Source organism: Homo sapiens, chromosome 14 (assembly GCF_000001405.40).
Source record: "Homo sapiens chromosome 14, GRCh38.p14 Primary Assembly".
Lineage (NCBI taxonomy): Eukaryota > Metazoa > Chordata > Mammalia > Primates > Hominidae > Homo > Homo sapiens.
The window spans coordinates 37731571-37754284 of record NC_000014.9 but is presented as its reverse complement, the minus strand read 5'-3'; the positions used below and the strand labels follow the sequence as shown (position 1 = coordinate 37754284).

Here is a 22714-nt window from a genome sequence, read left to right as displayed (position 1 = left end):
CAGGGAGGGGAACATCACACACCAGGGCCTGTCAGGGGTCAGGGGCAAGGGGAGGGAGAGCATCAGGACAAATTCCTAATGCATGCAGGCCTTAAAACCTAGATGACAGGTTGATGGGTACAGCAAACCACCATGTCACATGTGTATCTAACAAACCTGCACGTTCTGCACATGTATCCCAGAACTTAAACTAAAATAAAATAATATTTTAAAAAATGATTTAAAATTAAAAACTGCAACTGAAAAGATCAGTAGACGTGATTATATACATATTTTAAACCACTTCAAAACAAAATTTAGATTAAAAGAAAAGCAACAAAATGAAAACTATGCTATGTACAAATGAAAACGGTACAATGCACGAAGTTTAATATACAATACAATAGGATAATGAAAACTATGCTATGTACAAATGAAAACTGTACAATGCACGAAGTTTAATATACAATACAATAAAATAGTACATCCCTTGAAGCCAGGAGTTCAAAAACAACCTAGGCAACAAAGCGAGATCCCATTTCCACAAAAAAAAAAAAAAAAATTGAAAAATTAACTGGCTGTGGAAGCACAGCCTTGTAGTCTTAGCTACTTGTGAGGAAGAGGTGGGAGGATCGCATGAGCCCAGGAGATTCAGGCTGCAGTGAGCCATGACTGCGTCACTGCACCGTAGACAGGGTGATAGTGTGAGACTCCATCTCTATAAATAAGTAAACAAAAGATAACTGCAAGAAACTGTATGAATAGTTTTCTGTGCTCAAAGTACAAAGGATATGAAGAAGAGATGCAAGGTGGTAGGCAATGCTTTAGAAATTGATAATGTAACTAGTATTTAGGAAATGCAAATGAAACAATTTTAAATTGTCATTTATGCCCATTAAATTACCGACACCATTAGGGTGTAAGCAAGGATTTTTCATTTACTGGTGGCACTGAAAATTGATTCATTGTTTTTAAAGAGCTGTCTGATGTATTTCAAGCAATTTTCTGTTCTGAAAATGTATTTCAAATAATAGTAATAATTTTAAAACGACATCTAAAATCATTCTTACCTTGCTTGAGAATTTTGGTGATCTATATTTAACAAGGCTGTAAAATCCTCTATGGCTGCAAACCAGTTTTCATTTTCACAATAAAACAGCCCACGTTTCAATAATGCATCTGTTCTTTTGGGATCATAAAAAATACACTATAGGGACAGCGGGAGGTACATAAACATCACAAAATGAAAAAAAATGAAGTATATAATCACATAAGTGATCTAAAACTATGTTTTTAACTTCGGGTTAATAAAAGCAAACCATCTGAAGATGTCAAAATTTTCAGAGTTGTAGCTAAAGAATATTTCTTTAGGAGATTTTTTCCATCATCAAATTCTAGAGAGGGAGTATTTTTTAAGAGAAAAAAAAAACCGGCATATACAGGAAGCCCAGGCTTCTGCCCACTGAAAATTTGCTGATAAAAATTCATAAGTGAATTGTTCAACTAGAGTGGAGTTCATTGGATCTATCTCAGCATTTTATCCTAAAGACATAACATATTAGACTACATCAAGGCTGATTCAATCACATAAAATATATATTAATCTAGCCATTAAAATGGGGAAGAGAATTGAATTATTATTGGCATGGCTCATTCATTTTACATTGACATACAAAGTAATAAACAGACTAAATCATATATCAATTATAAAGCTCTTCACCTATTGTTAGTAGAAAAGAACTGAAACACAAAGGAGATGACCAAATATTTTTAAAATAAAAAAAAAAATCCTAAAGATTTCAAAATTTGACCTCAATGTACTGCATTACTCTATTTCTAAACTATTGGTGCAGGATAGGGGAAATGAAGAGAATAGATAATCTAACAATTTCAGCATCTTCAAAAGAGCTTTTTGGTCATTTCTAGACCAGAAGTTAACAAAATATATAATATTCTCCTCAAGCAGAAAAATGTCAAGTGGATGTCATGGATTCATAAATAGGGCAGTTGGGAAAATGGAAACTTAAATTATTTAAATAATTTAAATAATTGCTTCTAAATTCTTAATTGCAGTAAGGAATAACAATTTGGAGTTTAAAGTCAGGAGATCAGAGTTAGAATTGTACTGCAATCAGGGGAATATTTTGCCTTGACTACGGTTCAGTTAAAAGTTCATTTCCTGGCCGGGCACGGTGGCTCACGCCTGTAACCCCACCACTTTGGGAGGCCAAGGTGGGCGGATCACGAGGTCAGGAGATCGAGACCATCCTGGCGAACACAGTGAAACCCCATCTCTACTAAAAATACAAAAAAAATTAACCGGGCATAGTGGCGGGCACCTGTAGCCCCAGCTGCTTGGGAGGCTGAGGCAGGAGAATGGCGTGAATCCCGGAGGCAGAGCTTGCAGTGAGCCGAGATCGCACCACTGCACTCCAGCCTGGGCAACAGCGCAAGACTCTGCCTCAAAAAAAAAAAAAAAAAAGTTCATTTCCTCAATTCTCTGGTATCTCCTAAACATAAGTTACTCTCCCACCATCCTTATTTCCTTCATAGTACTTACCATAATTTGTAACAATGCCTTAATATCATAATTTATAATAGTAAATAAATAGTTTCAAGCAAGCGAATGAGTGAATGAACGTATGAACGAACCAGTAAGCACAGCTTCTTTGAGAGCAGATAGGTTCCCTGCAGAAAAGAATCAGCTATTCAAGAGTTAAAAAGTAGAAAATATTTTTCTTTAATGTTTAAAGGTAAGAAGCAATTTTCAAAGGCTTCTTTAACCACTGTAGCATGGCTCCAGAGGAGGCAGCTGGAAAAGCTGGGCCCCCTACATGTTATCTCAATGCCTCCACACTCAATTCTGATGTAAATTCATTCATTCACCATTTAAAAAATAATAATTAACATAGTGTTAATATTAATTCCAGTAATGAAAACTCTAGCTCCTAACCTGTAATAAATCAATTTTGATTATATAATATATACAAAAAGACCTTCAAAAACTTGCTGTACTATTTGCATGAGGATATCGCAATCTAAACTATATAAATGGTAGAATTATATGTGATAAAGCTTACTTTCGAAAAGTCATCAATGGCCAGTACTTTGTTTGTTATTTCATACATCTCACCCCTCCTGAAATAGATATCAGCATCTGTGGGCGTGGATTTAATTGCCTGGGTATAGTTTAGAATTGCCAAAGTTATGTCTTTTTTTCCCCTGTAAATTTCTGCTTTTGACAAATATGCCTCTAAAGAAAATTAAAAAGATAAAATTTGGAGTTATAATCCTTTCATTCCTATGAAAATTTTAAGAGTAATCCCTCTCCCTCCACAAATGTAGTCAAAATAATTTTTCTCTATTACACTTTCTTATTAGTTTATCTTATTTTATTCTATTTTATTTTATTTTTTTAGGCAGGATCTCCTTCTGTCACCAAGGCTGGAGTGCAGTGGCACAATCATGGCTCACTGCAGCCTCGACCTCCAGGGCTCAAGCAATCCTCCCACATCAGCCTCCTAAATAGCTGGGACTACAGATGCATGCCACCACACCCAGCTAATTTTTGTATTTTTTTTTATAGACACAGGGGTTCACCATGTTGCCCAGGCTGGTCTCAAACTCCTAGGCTCATGTCATCTGCCCACCTCAGCCTCCCAAAGTGCTGGGATTACAGGCGTAAGCCACTGTGCCTGGGCCCATTTCATTTAATTTTGATTTCGACAATGCCAAATTTGTTCTCAAAGGCTGGATAAATGCTCATTTATGGTTAAAGGTACTTTCAATTTGAAGTAACAAAAATTACCTTTTACCTTTCCATATGTCTAAAATGTTTTTTCGTAATCCTTTAATCATCATAGTAAAAGGTTAGGTTGTGATGACACAAAACTTAATGGACTTTTAGCAGAGATCAACACAGGTCAAAAATCATTTATTAAGCTCATGTTTTATTTTATGGGTATGTTGTAGGTGCTGGGGATACAAAGGTGAATATCACATTTTCACATTCCTAGAAAGTTCCATGTCTAGTGCTTCAAGTTGGTTGGAGGATAGTACATAAGAGCAAAGATATAGATTTCATACAACCAAGTAATCCTAGGCGCACAATAACTCTAACTCAGAGAGATGTGATCAAATCACACAAATCAAAGAGTGATTTGTAAATTACTTCTATAACTAACTATTTTAAATTCATATTCTTTCGTTGTGAGATGAGCAGTAAGGAACCAACTTACTGCAATATATATCAAGGACAATAACCTTTCAAACCATGGTATTTTAAAAACACTATAGGATTGTACGAGCCCCGGATTTACAATAACAAGAGTAAAAAAATTTAACTGAGGAAAGTCATTTTCAGGACATATATCTACTGATTTATGTATCCTTATAGTACCAATAAATGACAAAGGCTGAGGTCAAAATGTAGGTAATATAACTGTCTCTACAGACAACCCACCTGTATTATTTTTATTATATTTATGTATATAATTCAAGTCATCCAAAGCTTCATTAATTTTGTCTTGGAAAAGATAAATTAAATGTCGATGCCAATAGGCATTGAGAAACAATGGTTCCAAGAGTATTACCTAGAAAATATATGTAAAAATTCAGTTAAAGTTGATTTGTTAAAGGAGGATATCCTATCAAATAAATTTTTAAAACACGGTTGATCCCAGTGGCTTTGTATGTACGTAACATAAAATAAAACCTCCCAATCTGACAAACAAAAATCATGTTTTTAATATTAATTACTTGAAAATGCAAATAATTATACTGTTATAATAATTCCACATGCTATACTATAAACATTCATTGTTCAAAATTTCAGCAAAAATTACTATACAATTAAAAGCAAGTGTAAATGGTGAATATTACTATTTTGGTTAAAGAAAACTTACTCTCTGCAGATCATTCATGGCACTCTGCAACTTTCCCAGTTTCCTATAAATAGCTCCACGCCTACAATATGCAAATGCAGGATATTTTGTCTTATCATTTATTTCTTCAGTCAAAATCTTCACTTCAGATTCATAATATTTAATGACCTCTTGTGGAAGATCAGACTCCACATAATCATTTAATTTTAGTTTTGGTGGTTCTTTCACTCTTTCAGGTGGGTCTTCAGGAACTGATATTTTATCATCTTTCTCTTTTACAGGTATGCTCGCATCTTTGTACTCAATGAGCCTATCAAGAGCCCATGTCCGAGGATCAATATTTTCTGGAATTCCTCCCTTAGCTTGGACGAATTTTTCAAAATTTAAATACAAAGGTAAACTGGGACACCGTATTTGACGTTCATATAATGGAACTTTGAACAAATATTTCTTCTGTCCCGGAAGTATTCCATGAGATGCTGATCTAGTTTTTAAAAGAGTGATTTTTTTAAATTACAGAAATACAATCATCTTTCTAATCAGTAAATCAACTCAGCCACACATAAAACTACTATTTGTTATCAAAACAAAATTACATGCTAATTTTATGCGCAAGTTCTCCTTTTCATTTAATAAAATGGTAACACTGTATGAAGAATCTCCCTCAAGTTTATGAAAGCAAAAGACTGTTTTTAAAGATGTAGCCTCCTTACAGTACTAAAAAAATGAGGTCAATGTGCCTTTCGAGTTTAATTTACACCCTCTACAATACCAGCCACCAGAGGAATTACAATGGAGAATTAAGGAAGTAAACATAACGTGAGAAAAAAATGCCATGCAAGAGATTAAAGAGGACATGAACTTGAGGCAGTGGGAAGAAGGCAGGAGTTGACTACACCCCAGACTATCAACTGAACATCCCAGTTTTACCCTCCTCCTAGTAGGCTATCAAATTAAATAATACCTAATATGCTTTCAAATGCTACAAGTCTAGGATTAGCCTTCTCAAATTCTTCCTTTGCAATATAGTCTTCATTGAGTAACATGTGCCATAGGGCTGCTACTGTACTAGCCATAGGAAATACGAATAAACTCAGTCTATCGGAATAAGAAAAAGTTACCCTATCACTTCATATTTACTGAATATGTACTATGAGAAATACCTAGTGCTGAACACTAGGAGAACAAAAGTAAGAAAAGTTAGTTTCCTTCCCTTTCCTTACTTTCATAAGTTATCTATTCCTTTCCACATTCTAGTGCAAGCCACCATCATCTATTCTTCTTAGAGCAGAATAATTTCTTAATTCCCTGCTTCTACTTTTGCCCTTTGTCTAACTCATTCTCTGCATGGCAGCCAGGCATAGTTTTTGTTTTTTGTTTTACAAATGTAAATAAGATCACATCACTCCTCCAGGAGCTTCCCCTAGTATGCAAATCAAGCCCTTCACCATGGTCCATAAGACCCCACATGATCAAGTGCCAGCATAAATATTCCACACCACTACTCTCTCCCTCATTCCCTATTTTCCAGCCATGTAATCCTTGAGCAAGCCTGAAGGCCATTGCCCTTTTCAGCCCTTCTGACTGGCTGGCTCCTTCTCAATTCATATTTCTGACCAAATGTCACTTTAGAAAGGTCTTCTGTGCCAGATATGTTTCGTTTGCACCTCCATATTCATCTCTACCCTTCTCCATCTTGCTCCCTGTCTCAGGAAACTGATCTGCACAGACTATAGCCTTAGGATCGCCTGGTCTCTGTCTTCTCATAAAGTTTATCCAATTAGGAACTCCAACAGAGGGAAGGAGGAGAGTGAAATCAAAGTGTTTATTCCTCTGGCTTCCTCATGAAGGGTCTCCTCAAACTACCTAGGATCCTTGTAAAAAGATCACTACTGCTTTCAAGAAAACCATTACTATACAACTCTTTTCTTTCAGCTTCTAGTCATCACTCCCTCTTTTTGTTCTCTCAAACTTAGGAGTAGAAAATGGCTTTACATTTTTAATCCCAGGATACTGCATTATCATTTCTGGTTTCCTTGTACTTTGACATTTTTGTAAATTTCTCCTTTATCATAACCTCCAAATATTATCCTAAGCTGAGTGGTGTTTGTGATTGGGATGTTCACTGACAAAGTAATTAGTACCAGGGATGGACTCAGGAAACACACACACACATAAAGGATTCTAGGAAAACTTCCTTGCCAGGTTGAAATAGGACATGGGTAATCCATGGCATGTGGTGGTATAAAAATTTGTCAAATATCACCAGTGTTAGCAGGGAATGATGTTCAGGTGGAAGACAAGGCATTGGGAGATCAAAGAGCTTTAAGTCATTAGGACAACAATAATTATTATAAAAATTGTATGTTCAGTTGACTACTTCTTTCAGACCAAAGAGTAGTTGCAGTATCTATTAAGTACCCTCTAAACTTTGTGCACCAAGGTAATAAAGCTAGTAGGCAAGAAGCAGAAAACTGAAATATGGGATGTTAACATGCAAGGAGGTATGAATGAGAGTGACAATTTTAAATCTTCAAATTCCACTTATCTTCCCTTTACTGAGGAGACTGGCTGAGGAATTGTCAGATACCCCAACTGAGACTCTCAGTCCTCTCCTGCATAAGTTTCTTTCAATGACTATACTGTGACATTGCCTCATATGCTGTAATGCACCTACCTCAAGCATGCCCTGAAATCACTCAGCTGTGACTCCCAAACCCTCTCATGGAGCCACAGCCATTACAGTCCCTCAGCCTCCCACATATCTCCTCCATGGAGGTGACCTTGGGTTGGTGGCTGCTGGCCTCACCACACACAGCCTTAGCCAGAACACCCAGGAATACTCTAAGTGAAGGGTTCTCAAACTTCAGCATGCATCAGAATTACCCAAAGGCTTGTTAAAAATACAGATTTTGAGGCTCCACCCTCAGGGTCTCTTATTTGGTAGACCTAGGGTGGAGTTCTAGAACTTGCACCTCTAACAAGTTCCCAGGTAACACTCATGCATGGATTACACAATAAGAACAATTGCTGTAGAGGAATGAGTTCTAAGGTTCAGGAAATAGGAATTTGTCTGCAATATGGAATGTGCTTAGTCAAGTCCCAACCCTTGGAGAGACCAGAGAATGCATAAGTGAGGGGGCACAATACCCTTGAAAAGCCTTGTGGGTGCTGACCTCAGAGCTGGAAAAGAATGACAGTGGGGGAACGGGAGCCAAGAAATTTGTTTCACTGATTCCAATGGGAATAATAGAACCCTGGAGTGGTAAAATTCCATTTACCACTACAGATATGGTAGATACAATGACCACAATAAGCAATAGAGACAGAATAGTAGTAACAGGATTTTAACTCTCAAGGATTCGTGGCAGTAACTAAATGCCTAAAGGTGCTTAGAGATGAGATAAATGGGCAGCTTGCTTGGGTGTTCTTTGGCTTACATAGGGGAAAACTTACAGGTCTTCTGGTACAAACCTAACCAGCTATAGTGGAGGTTCACAATCTTTTACCCAGCTTTCAGACCCCAGCCAGTTCATAGTCCAAAACCTCTCTTAACAGGAAGGTTGGGCAAAGTCCCACTGCGGAAGAATCCTGCAATGTGGCTTAGGTATACACAGTGAATTTTCCCTGAAATCTTCTAAAGGTATGAGAAAGGGGAATACTCAAACCTTCCAGGGGTAATTACATACTGGCTCTGACCTTATGCTAATCCACAGATACCCACTACAAATCCCACTGACGTTTATCAATCAAATTAAAGAATTATGAAAGTCAAGTGAATCTTGGCCTGAGACCATTTAACAGTGGACCTAGTAAGACATGGACCCATTTTTTGATAATTTCCCTAGTCCCAGAATGTACAGTGGCAGTAAATACATGTAATAACGGAATAAACTGTACACTGAGGAAGATAATGGTAGTAAGGGCCAAGTGGAAATCTCGGAAACTGTCCTCATCCCATCTCACATCACTATCCACCAAGATAGCAAACAAAAAGCAATACCAGATTCCAGGGAAATTACACATTAGTGGCACCATCAGAGACTTGAAGGATATAGGTGGCAATTCCCACCATATCTCCATTTTACTTTCCTGTTTCACCAGTGTAAAACAAAGATAGCTTGTAGAAAGTGACTATAAATTATCACAAATTTAATCAGGTGGTGATAACAATTACAGCTTTAGTTCCAGATGTGGTATATTTACTGAAGCAATGAACACACCTCCTGGCACCTGGTTTGCAGCTGTTGACCTGACATGCTTTCTTTTCCATTTCCCTAGTTTAGGAGAATCTGATGAAGTTTACATTTATATGGCAGGGACAACTCTCTCCATATATATATACACACACACATATGTATATGTACGTACATATATATGTGTACGTGTGTATATGTGTGTGTGTGGGTGTGTGTGTGTGTGTGTATCCCATATCCAACCCATAAGCAAATCCTGTTGTCCCTATTTCTAAAATCTATCTAGAATCTAACCACTTTCCACTACTTTGGTTGCTATCACCCCAAACCAAGAAACTATTTCTCACCTAGATTATTTCAACAGCTTTCTAACTGGTCTCCCTGCTCCACTACAATCTATTTTCCACAAGTAACCAGAGCGAACCTTCTGGAACATAAACTAGATCATATGAACTCACTGCTCCCAACTCCCAGTGTTTCCTTTTCTATTAAGAATCCAAAGTCTTTACCATAACCTATAAACATCACTACCCCATTCTCAAGTCCACAATGATTTCTTGGCACTCTTAAGAATAATTTCAAATTTACTCTGGCCTGCAAGGCACCACATGGTATTATCTCTGACCACTTCCTCAACCTCGCTTCTTTCCACCCTGCACTCACTCTGTTCCAGCCACACTGACTTCTATGCTGTCCCTCAAAAGCAAAAAGCATGTCTCCAACTCAAGGCCTTTGCACTTGTTATGACCACTTCAGATATTCAAACACCTCACTCCCTCATTCCATTCAGTTCTACGCTCAAATATCACTACCTTATAGAGGCTTCTGACCACTCTGTCTAAAATAGTAACCTTTGCTGCACTGCTTTATTTTCTTCATTACATTTGTCACTTCCTAATGTTATTTGTTTACCTCTCCACTCTCTCCCACTACAATGTAAGCTCTATGAGGACAGGGAGTTTGCCAATCTTGTTCCTTGCCCTATGCTCCTTGTCTAATGCAGTACTGCTGAGTAGTGCTCAATAAATGTATGTTGCAGAAATGAATGGCTGAACTCATTCATTCATCAAATTGTTGCTGAATTCCTACTATGTGCCATGATTTAATAAGAGAAATCACATTTAACTACAGTCCCTCCAACTCTTCACTTTAAGCTGATAAACTTTGCCTTCATTGAAAATATAGGAGCTATCTGACTTGAATACTTACCTCATTTTCTTAAACAAAATATACATTCCCAGGGAAGGAAGATGCTTTCTTCATATAATGCACAACACCTCTTCCCTGGGAGTTCAGTTGTATCACTTGTGTTCTATGTCCCATCCACATTTGCCTACTCAGAGGCTTCACTCTTTCAATATCCTGACTTTTCTGTATCATCTGAAATTGTGATCAGTACTCTGAAATTTTACTAGGCAGAGAAACTGCAGAAAGGATACTAAAGAGGCAAGAATGAGGAGGAAGTTCCAGATAACAGAGTTGAATGAGGGGTCCTCTAAACCTAAGTTTGAAGCTATACATATCCCAGACTAACTCCTGAACCACCCACAAATCCCTTCTCATTATTCCAGAAATAATCACTGCCTTAGTTTGATGTATATAATTTCAAGGTTTCTTTATAGATATACAAGCACTATTATACACACATACATGCATATACATACAGCTTTGTTAAAATATATTCCCACATAAACATCCAAAAATATGTTAATTGTGACTTATTTCTCAATGGTAGCATTGCTGTATTTTCTAAGTTTTTACAATGAGCATGTATTATTTTTACTATCAAATATTAATAACATAAGTACAATATTTTTAAGGAAACAAGATCTTGCTATGTAACTTTCTAGAAGGATGTAAAAAGGAAAGGAAATGCAGACCGTGGATGAACTTTTATGAAGAAGAATTATAGTCCCAGATCACTGAAAGTAAGTAATACAAAGAAAAGGAACATGATAAAAGAGGGGACTGGCTGTTTACATCTACCCCAAAAGGTAAGTATTTCTTCCTGTACTGCAAGTTTAAATCATGTTTTCATAGCCATGAATATGGTTCATGGTTTTTCATTTGGAGGAACCGGAGTAAATTAACCTGCTAGCTATCACTCCAGTCTGAGAAAGTCAAGCCTTTGGGTTGGAATATGTATACATACAGTTAATCTGAGATGAGATGTAAGACAATTTAAGGAAACAGAAATTTTGAACAGTTCAAATGTTTTGCTCAATATATCGTTGATATAAAAATAAGGACGATTTTACTACCCAAATCAAGGGATATTTGAGCTGGACATTACTTCAGAAATCATGTGGATAGGCTATTCATCTTCTAGATGGGGAAACAAATATTCAAGGAAATTAAGTAGCTCGGCCTAGTCACTGAGGATCTAGTGAATGAAGGTTGGGATATGGATGTATACAAATTCCTGATCCAGAGTTCTTGCTCCTAGAACATCACTGCTGCCAGCTTTTAGAGAAGCAGAGTGATAAATGAAAGTCAAAATAGGCCTGATGGCCAGACGCAGTGGTTCATGCCTATAATCTCAGCCCTTTGGGAGCCCAAGGTGGGTGGATTGCTTGAGACCAGAAGTTCAAGACCAGCCTGGGCAACATGGCGAAACCCTGCCTCTACCAAAAAAAAAAAAATGCAAAAATTAGCCACACTTGGTGGCACCCACCTGTAGGCCCAGCTACTTGAGATGATGAAGTGGGAGAATCCCTTGAGCCTGGGAGGCAGAGGTTGCAGTGAGCCAAGATCACACCATTGCACTCCAGTCTGGGCAATGGAAATGAAACCATGTCTCAAAAACAAAAAAAACAAAACAAAAAAACAAAACAAAACCAAAAAGTGGAAGGATAAAACAACTAAGGAAAACATAACAACTCCTGCTTGGAGGAAAATAAATTCTGCTTCTCTGAGGAATGCAGCAGCACAAGATGAGCCAAGAAAAACAGGTCTGAGACCACAGGGTCACTCGCAGGAGCAGGTCAAGTGAGTTAAGACTAAGGACAATTATTCTAGAAAGGGGCACAAGAAGATGCATTCAGAGGGATAGGAACGCCATTGGCAAACAGGCTGGTAGCCTGGATCTCAGATGAAGAATATTACTCAGTCCTGGAAGACAGAACGTTGGTAGAGATCAAGAGGCTAGCAATTCAGAAAAGCCCACATAGGAGGTAAGGCAGTGGGTACAAGGGAGTCAAGGCAGCCACTATTCATCAATAGGAAGAGGTCACTGTGGGTCAGCCAGCTACTGAGGAAGGTCTCCTCTACACCCTCAGGCTGCTCTGTCAACACTGAGCTCAGAGACCAAAGCAGAGGGAAACTTCTAGAGAAACAATGAAGCTGCGAAGTTATTGCAAACTTTGGCAACCTACCATGACCTAGCTGAGGAGGGAAGCAACAGGGCTAAGGGGATAAAAGGAAATGCATGAATCTGGGTGAGATGGCTCCAGTAGCTTTCTGCAGGAGTGACTTTCCACAGCCATAATTCAACTTGATGTATAAGAACATACGCAGTCTGCTTCCCACCATTAAGGGAGGCCAGCCAAGAATGGGTGTGATGAAATAACCTTTATGGTTGGACATAAAATGGTAAGAAGCACATCTGTGAATTATCAAATTAAGATTAGTGAGAAAAGGCCAGGCGCGGTGCCTCATGCCTGTAATCCCAGCACTTTGGGAGGCTGAGGCAGGTGGATCACCTGAAGTCAGGAATTCGAGACCAGCCTGGCCAACATGACAAAACCCTGTCTCTACTAAAAATACGAAAAATTAGCCAGGTGTGGTGGCACACGCCTGTACTCCCAGCTACTTGGGAGGCTAAGGCATGGGAATCACTTGAACCTGGGAGGCAGAGGTTGCAGTGAGCCGAGGTGCTACTGCACTCCAGCCTGGGCAACAGCGAGACTCTGTCTCAAAAAAAAAAAAAAAAAAAAAAAAAAAAAAAAAAAAAAGTGGGAAAAAAGTCTCAAAGTATAGGAACAAAATTATTTTTCAAGTTGCTCCATAGTTGTTAGTTTTGAACAATTCATATCTACATTCATATGTGGTGAATTAGTTTGAATTAAGATTTTTTTAAAAAGGTAGGAAAGCTGTACTAACAATACTCCCACAGTTTGTTTTACTGCCTCCACCAAAAGGTTCATCCTATGGTTCCTGTTACACCCATTGGCAGCACATACAAATTTCAGAGTCAGTTATTAGAAGGCAAAGAAATCTTTTTAAATGGTAAAACTTTATAATATTCAGAATGATAAAAGGTCAGTAAGAAGACCACACCCCACAGAAGCAGCATTTGATCAGTTTATATCCTTTTTTTAGATAGAAGTCATTTAGGTTGTGGCCAAAATGGTGCTGTGTGCATTACCCTTTCCAGGATGGTGAAGATTCATAATACTTTAAAATCAGTAAATGTATTGAAAATGTATAAGCAAACTTCTGGTTCTGATCTAAAACATTTATCAACTTAGAAAACCTACTTGCAGTCTCCTACAAATGAACTAACAAAAAAATTTCCAGATACTGTATTTGTTGCAGACAAAACTTAAGCATATGTAGTATACAGAGAACACGAGACTTGAATGGCATTCTCCGCTATGGTTGGCCTCTGTTCCACTCTGTCATTCACACTTATGAAGTACTATGCCCCAGTCTTCTCAAGGACAATAAGTCACCATTTCAAGAAATAATTAACTCTTTTACAGACAGCAAGTCTTTATAACTATAAAGTGAACAATTTTTTTTATTCTCTTACCATCAGGAAAGTCTTTACTTTTCAAAAGGACACAAGTTTAATAAATTTTGTGATGTCTGGGGATATCTAAAAAGAAACCTCAGATCTTTTTGGAAACTATTTTGCACAATATGTTTGTTATAAGAAAGTTATGTCCTGAATACTTAATAATGAACACATTTGGAATTTCAGTGGTTATTATTTCAGGTCCCTACATAATTTTAAATATACTGGCTACTATTACTTTCAAGTAAGGAAAAAACTATTTCTGTGTTGATTCCTAAATAAGAGCTTACAATATTAAAAAAATTATTTACTTTTTTTTTTTTTTTGAGACGGAGTCTCGCTCTGTCGCCCAGGCTGGAGTGCAGTGGCACATCTCGGCTCACTGCAAGCTCCACCTCCTGGGTTCACGCCATTCTCCTGCCTCAGCCTCCCGAACAGCTGGGACTACAGGTGCCCACCATCACGCCTGGGTAATTTTTTTGTATTTTTAGTAGAGACGGGGTTTCACTGCGTTAGCCACGATGGTCTCGATCTCCTGACCTCGTGATCTGTCCGCCTCAGCCTCCCAAAGTGCTGGGATTACAAGGGTGAGTCACTGCACCGGGCCCAAAATTATCTAGATTTATAACTCAATTCAATAATTTAAAATTTAAAAATACTTAAATATCTATTTTGAATGAGTAGAATTTGTGTGGAGCAGGAGTTGTTTTTTGTTACTAAATCACTTCAAATAACTTGTTTGGGTTTTTTACTTTCTGGAAGATTTCAGTTAGCCATCAAATTGATTTAGTCTTACCTCATGTCCTTAAATCAGTCCCCTATTTAAATTATCATTTGAATCATTCACATACTTATACTAAGAGATATCCATATATTTTTAAATGAGGGTTTGTCTTTCTTTTTTTTTTTTTTTTTTTTTTAAGATGGAGTCTCACTCTGTCATCCATGCTGGAGTGCAGTGGCCTGATCTCAGCTCATTGCAACCTCCACCTCCCAGGTTCAACCTCTTCTCAGCCTCCTGAGTAGCTGGGACTACAGGCACACACCACCATGCCCAACTAATTTTTGTATTTTTGGTAGAGAGGGGTTTCACCATGTTGGCCAGGCTGGTCTTGAACTCCTGACTTCAGTTGATCCGCCCGCCTCTGCCTCCCAAAGTGCTGGGATTACAGGCATGAGCCACGGCGCCCAGCCAGAGGTTTGTCTTTCAAAGAGTGAAAGGTTCATATGTTCAGTGCAGAATAAAATAATAACTTCATGGGGTGAGATTATAAAATTAAGGTCAAAACCACAATATATTTCTTAAACTATAAGAAAATCACTTAAACAAGACCTTTCAAGAGATTTTGGAGGCTTGGATAACTCTTCATGCACGAATATAAGTTTTTGTTGTTTCAATCTTTTCTTCCATCTCATCTTCTTTTTCTTGGGATAAACAATGTAACTAATGCCAGCTTTTTTAGACGCTTCAATGAGAGTCAAAGAGAGATTTCTCAAACTGTGTTTTTCGCACATGTTATCAAAGATGTCATCTATACTTTCTTTCACATAGTTGGGCTCCTCAGTTTTATTTTGCTTAGTGAGCTGGAGCTGACGTTTCAATTCCTTTGCTTTCTGAAACATAACCTCTTTTATACTGCTTTGCATATCATTCTTGATTTCCAAAGGAGCTATGATCTTCTCCTTCCTCAAGTCTACAGAAGATTTTACTCGCTTAGTAAGCAAGCAAAGAGGTAGAAAAAACGTAAAATCAATTTAGTTGCTATGCATTCAAAATTAATTAATTCTGTTACAATTACTATTAATGTGGTTTGGTCACTTAATTTAAAAGTTTAAAAATCAGTATTCTTAAAATTATTCAAAAGTCAGCTGATAAAGTTAATAGTGGGTTAGTTCAAGCAAAGTACAATAATTTGGTTGGTCATATGACATTTCATTAGATATATGTAAACAGCACTATAAATTAGATATGTATTATGATTTTCTATATTTTAATTGAAAGAGAATGCTCTCTATATATCCAAATAAATTATATGCTGTACTTTTATATTTAATGCAAAAAAACTGGTAGAAGGGGCAAAAGCTGTTAAAATGCCTTATTCCATAAAAATCAATTTGGGTTTTCTTTCAAAAGCGCTTTAACAACACTGAATTTCTACACAATACCATTCAAATATTCTCCATAATAACTTTCAATTTAATATTTATAATAGGAAGTAACAGAATCCCAACCTATTACAGTATTTATTTTATCTAATCATTAGAGAATCAGCTTAATTTTTAATAATATTATTTATTATAACATTAATAATTATATAATTTTAATAATTATGCATTAATACTTGAAACTCTAATACTCATTACTTACACAAGATAAATTACTTTAAATCCTTTGATATAGCATTTCCTGCCTATTGAGCCATCGTCAATAAGTTAAATGCATTTCATTTGCTAATAAATAATTTGTTATACAGATGTAGTTCTTTATAGTCAATTTTGGCCCAAATTTCAAACATAATAATTTCATACAAGCCAGTTATGTACTTTAAGATATGTACTAAAGTACAACAGAGATATTGACCATCTGCAACTTACTGTACTCCCCCATCTCAAGAAACTATATAAAACTCAATATGTAATTAGACTAGAGAATATAATATAGAAGTAGATGCTTTTAAAAAAAAATAAGGTGATTATTATTCCTAGGAATATAAATGTTTCTTTTAGAGAGTAAAAACTGTAAAATTATAATACCCTTAGTTGTGTAGGTTGTGCACTAAACCATTTTTGGATACTTTCAAATGATGCAGATTTTCTTGGTAAGAAACACTGTGAAATAATCAAATGAAAAATATACATTAGTCACAGATACTATCTGATAAGCTAAAATATATAATACTTGGCTAATAACTGTTTAGGTAAATTAATGAAATTCAGAAATACTGATTAAAATACAGATACTGAGTTTGAAGTCACTGACTTTATATAGAGGAAGAGAACTTAAAATCTATGAATTAATGTAGAAAAGTGTATAATAATAAAAACTATGTTTTTTTAAAAAATTCAACTTGATATAACAAACACCAAGTACCTGCTATGTACAAGGTAGTATAGTGCAAAGCTACCCAGCTGGTGTAGGTGGCACTGGTGTGTGTGAATGTGTGACAGATATGCTGAGCCATGAATCCCCTTAACCCTGGGGCTGCATTAGTGGGAGCCCCTGGACAGTCACCTCTAATCATGAGCAATCTCAACCTTTTAGTTCAGGAAACCACGCAAGTGTTACCACTTACTATAATAACACCCAGACTGGTGTTATTATATTAAGAGTTGGAAAGCTCTACTAAACTAGAGTGCAAAGTACAAAGAAAATGCTATGTTCCATGTCCTTAAGCACAATAATGATGCAAACAGCAATAAAGAAACATCTAGACCAGATCCAGTGGCTTACACCTGCAATCCCAACAGTTTGGGAGGCTGAGGCAGGAGGATCACTTAAGCCTAGGAGTTTTGAGACCAGTCTGGGCAACATAGTGAGACCCCATTTCTAAAAAAATAAAAAATAAACTAGCTGTGTATAGTAGTGCACACTTGTAGTCCCAGATACTCAAGAGGCTGAGGTGGGAGAATCACTTGAGCCCGGGAGGTCCAGGCTGCAGTAAGCCATGATTTTACCACTGTACTCCAGCCTGGTAGATGGAGTGAGATTTTGTCTCAAAAAGAAAAGACTATATTAGGCACTAGTGAGAGAAAAATAAAACCATGTCCTAATTGTACCCCATAAAGTTCAGGTCATTGGATACACTGTAGTTAGTTATACCAAAAGTCATGATTATGCATCTGATCACCGTTTAAAGCAATCAGTCTTACTCTGCTTCATGGCCACAGTTTCTCCATTTAGTCAAAGACTCATAAACATGTTCCTTTGATATTGAAGACCTACACAAGAATGAGTGAAAAAACTAGAAATGTTAGAAAAACTCACAACAAATATCCTGCTATTGATTAGTGAATAACATCTTCTAACAGTCATAAAAACAGCATATTTGAGAAAGTAGAAATGTATCTTCAGCAAGGATAGCACTGAATGGTCTGAGCCATTTTCCAAAATGAAGAAGTACTAAGAAAAAAAAAAATTTTTTTTGAGACAGTCTCCCACTGTTGCCCTCGATCTCCTGGGCTCAAACCATCCTCCCACCTCAGCCCCCTAAGTAGCTGAGATACAGGCACGTGCCACCACATCCAGCTAATTTTTTTGTTTTTTTACTAGAGATGGGGTTTCACCATATTGGGCAGGCTGGTCTGTAACTCCTGGCCTCAAGTGATCTGCCCACCTCAGACTCCCAAAATGCCGGGATTACAGACATGAGCCACCATGCCTGGCCCCAAGAAATAATTTCTGGAATTACCATAATTAATATCTGGACTGTAGGCAGATAGAGTAAACAATCCTAATTAAGAACAAAAATTGTACATACCCAAAAATTTGTTCTGCTATGTTGATGTAAAGTAATGACACTGCTTTTATATGACAATTTATCAGTTAAAAGTCTGCTTGCTTGAACACTCTGTGATAAAAAGATAACAATTTTAAATTATGTTTTGGAATACTTTTTAAAAGCCTATGATGACTGTTACTTCATAGTACAACATTATTAACAAAAGAACCAAAGAGAAAACATATGAAAGTAGTATAATTCTAGAAAACACTTACCAGAGATGCATCAAAGTCCAGCTATAGCCTTAGTATTTGGCCAAAACCTGCAATTTGGCTTCAGTGTTGGCATTTAGCAAAATGGTTACTTCCACACTATTTCTGGCATCCTTAATCTTAGGAGTGATCAATGATCCTATGATCTCATAGGTTAACACTGAATTTATGTAGCATATTAATATCAGGATTATGAACAAGACATATCTAGTTTTCTTGTCAACACATGAATATTCATTTTTAAATACAAGCAATCATTCTAAATGTAAACTGGAATGAAATTTGCCTTAAGTGCTTTATACTTTGAATTCTATCGGTTAAGTATGTAGATATATTTATTGTTGTAAGAGTAAACTGCCACTATGATTAAGGTTATTATTAAATGTGCTACTTCTCTATCTTGTAATCAGTGGTTTGGACATGCAGAAACCTAGAAGACCTAAATTCGACACCCGGGTAGATTAATGATTAATTAAATCATACTACTACTTTGCTTTTTTAAATTGTTAGGTCTCAAACACTAACATTACAAATTTTAAAAATATTTATTGAATAAAAAGTCAGATTTTAAAAATATTATGTAATTATTACCGACGATGGAGAAGGCTATGGGTAACTTAGGAATCACCAAGCATTGAGTTTTTGCTAAAAATCCTCTCAAGTTATATTTTCAGAAAGTAGTGATAGCACAATGTATGGTAAGATAATTACTGGGCATAATAGAAAGATACTTGGTCACTTTCATCATTATTCTTTAAAAACAAACTACATGGTATACCAGGGATTTTCAAACCATTTTGTCATATGCTTACACAAGATATTGAAATATGATGGAATAGCAGATATTACATATTTAAAAGAATGCTTTTAACAACAATAAGGACAAAAACCTTAGTACCGTGCTTCATAGATATCAAAACTGTGGAACTTATTAACAATCAATGGTTGCTTATTTTAAAAAAAGAACATATATGCTGGAGCCTTGGAAACTGTCAAAATAATGCCCAAACTAAGGTGTCTTGAGAGGGCACTTACAGTGTTACTTATATGATATGCAATGGAAAAAAAAAATCCTCCTACTCTACCCCAAAGATATTGTTGAAATTGGTATGCATGCAATAAAAGCTGGGATGCAAACAGAAATGGAAACAGTTTCCTTAAAAGTCAATAATGACTTCTGCTTCTAATTAGGTAACATTAGGAACTTTGCTGAGGACAACTGAGAGCTACATATAATTTGAAAAACAATGGTCAAAACATCACAGAGCTAACAAGATGAAAAGACGAGCCAAAATCTGAGAAAAGACAAGGTACCAGAAAAGGTAAGCCTACTATTCAAAGATGCTTTGTTCTCAGTATGTTTGCCAAAACAACTACAACTCTGAGTTGCAGATTTGGCAATTTCTTGGGGCAAGGGTGACAAAAAATCTAAGCCCAGAATCTATCTGAGATGTGGAGCCTGATAATACATCCCAATTATATATAAACTGGAATACCACAGGGGTACACCCTCAGATTAAAAGTGGGTGGAAGGAATCAACTTTCATGCAGACTTTTAGTCTGGGTTCTATCACGAGGGTAGTCAGAGAAACTCACGCCTCAACTTTAGATTAAAGCTGTCTCTGAATAGTAAAGACCCCAGTTTCTAACAAAAATGTCCTTTGGAGGAAGAAAATGCCATAATGCCATTCTAAGTCTCAAATGTTTCCTTAAAATCATGTTTTAAATACAATGGTAAGCAAACATTCAAAGACAGACAGGTATACAAAGAAACAAAACACCATAACATAACAGATTTAGGGAAAAATAGAAATACTAAGAAGAACCATATAAAAAACAAGTTTAACAATATATTATACACAACTAAAGAGAGAATTCGTGGACCTCACCTATAATACAGGTTAGAAGAAATTGTCCAGAATCCAATACCAAGCACAAGAGAAAAAAAGGTAATTAATACATGTGATTAAAGTCCCAGAAAATGAAATAGAGAATGGATAGAGATTACTAAAAATTTTCCATAGCTAATGAAAGATGTCAACTACAAACTCAAAGGATTTCAATATGTGATAAATAAAAAGAAATACACACCTAGACACATCATAGTGAAACTATAGGAAATGCAAATGAAAAACTTAAAACCAGCCAGGTTTAGGAGAAGCAGAAGATGCATTAGCTTCAAAGTCTTTACATTTAAGACTTACTTCTCAACAGCAATAATGAATGCCAGAAAATAATGGAACATCATTACTCTGTTAAAACATCTGCCAATATATTATACTCAGATAAAATATTCCTCAAGAATGAAATTATATGAAGACATTTTGAAACTAAGAAAAACCAGGGTTTTCACCAACTTGCAGACCTTCTACCCCTCCTCTTAAAACAAATTCTATAGGATACAATTTAGGCAGAGGGTAAAATGATTCCAGATATAAGTGTCTGACATGCGAGGAAAAAAAAGAAAAGCCAAAAAAAGAGATAAATATATGGGTAAAATTTAAGGTATATTACATAAAATGAAAATTTAGTTTGGACTTTAAAAGCTAAGGATCTATCAAAGTAAAAGCGTAAGTCAAGAAGGGGTAAATGGAATCAAAGGATTCTGAAGTCACTGTATTTTCCTGGAGGAGTATAAAGGTATTAATGTATATTAGATATCAATAAGTTAAAGATGCATATTCTAGGGAAACAGCCACAGGAATAAGTAAAACATACCGTTGACCCTTGAATAACATGGGTTTGAACTTCATGGGTTCAGAAAATCTACTTATTTACAGATTTTCTTCCACCTCTGCCACCCCTGTAACAGCAAAATCAACCCCTCTTCTTCCTCTGCCTCAGCCTAATCAGTATAAAGACTAAAGACAACAGGCCAGGCCCGGTGGCTCACGCTTTAAGTCCAGCACTTTGGGAGGCCGAGGTGGGCGGATCACGAGGTCAGGAGATTGAAGCCATGGTGAAACCCCGTCTCTACTAAAAGTACAAAAAAATTAGCTGGGCGTGGTGGCGGGCGCCTGTAGTCCCAGCTACTCGGGAGGCTGAGGCAGAGAATGGCGTGAACCCAGGAGGCGGAGCTTGCAGTGAGCCGAGATTGTGCCACTGCACTCTAGCCTGGGCGACAGAGCAAGACTCCGTCTCAAAAAAATAAATAAATAAAAGACAACAAAGTGAAGATCTTTATGATCGTCTACTTCCACTTAGTTAATAGTAAGTATATTTTCTCTTCCTTATAATCTTCTTAATACCATTTTCTTTTTTCTAGCTTACTTCATTGTAAGAATGCAGTACATAAGGCCGGGCGTGGTGGCTCACGACTGTAATCCCAGCACTTTGGGAGGCCAAGGCGGGCAGATCACGAGGTCAGGAGATCGACACCATCCTGGCTAACACGGTGAAACCCCATCTGTACTAAAAAATACGAAAAATTAGCAAGGCGTGGTGGCGGGCTCCTGTAGTCCCAGCTACTCGGGAGGCTGAGGCAGGAGAATGGCGTGAAACCAGGAGGCAGAGCTTGCAGTGAGCCTAGATCGCGCCACTGCACTCCAGCCTGGGTGACAGAGTGAGACTCTCTCTCAAAAAAAAAAAAAAAAAAAAAAAAAAAGAATACAGTACATAATACACATAACATAAAATATGTGTTAATTGACTGTTTATCAGTAATGCTTCCAGTCAACAATAAGCTATTTGTAGTTAAGTTTTTGGAAAGTTGAAAGCTACACATGAATTTTCAACTGTGCAGGGATTGGCACCCCCAACCCTCACATTGTTCAAGGATCAATTATATATAACTTTTACAACAGAAATGATAAAACACAATACACCCAAATAATTGGCAAAAAATTAAGCATACAATGGGTAAGAAAATAAAAATAACAATAAAAAGTAGATGTAAATTTTAAATAGGTCCAATTAAAAAACAAAAAAAATCCAACTGTATTTGTTTTCATCTAATCACATGTTGTTTATAAAAGACACATCTAAAATATAAGAATACAGAAAGGTTATGTGTAAGGGAACAAATATTTAATGAAGGAAAATTGTTGTCAATGCATTAATAATAAAGATAGACTCTAAGGTAAAAGTGTTTACTAAAATAAAGTAGCTCAGTTCGTTACTGAAAGTTTTGACTCATAAACAATGTTTAACAATCCTTCATTTGTATGCATCTAATAACATGGCCCCAAAATATATAAAGTAAAAATTG

The 22714-nt window shown here is 36.6% G+C and overlaps 1 protein-coding gene across 15 annotated transcripts in view; it reads right to left on the bottom strand.

The window, feature by feature from the left end:
- Window positions 1-22714, bottom strand: part of TTC6 (tetratricopeptide repeat domain 6) — a 247089-nt gene that overhangs the window by 88433 nt on the left and 135942 nt on the right. For 13 of the 15 annotated variants that reach the window (XR_007064009.1, XR_001750287.2, NM_001310135.5 and 10 more), the window contains 7 exons: window positions 18275-18364; window positions 16551-16625; window positions 15130-15509; window positions 4884-5346; window positions 4442-4571; window positions 3060-3232; window positions 1050-1186 (listed from right to left, as the gene is read on the bottom strand). Coding sequence is in view for 13 of the 15 variants with exons in the window: in NM_001310135.5 (NP_001297064.2) it covers window positions 1050-1186; window positions 3060-3232; window positions 4442-4571; window positions 4884-5346; window positions 15130-15509; window positions 16551-16625; window positions 18275-18364 (1448 nt within the window). In the remaining 2 variants the exon portion in view is untranslated. Of the gene's footprint in view, window positions 1-1049; window positions 1187-3059; window positions 3233-4441; window positions 4572-4883; window positions 5347-15129; window positions 15510-16550; window positions 16626-18274; window positions 18365-21777; window positions 21861-22714 lie in introns of those variants that run through there. The other 2 variants (XM_047431336.1, XM_017021257.2) reach the window with 2 other exon arrangements.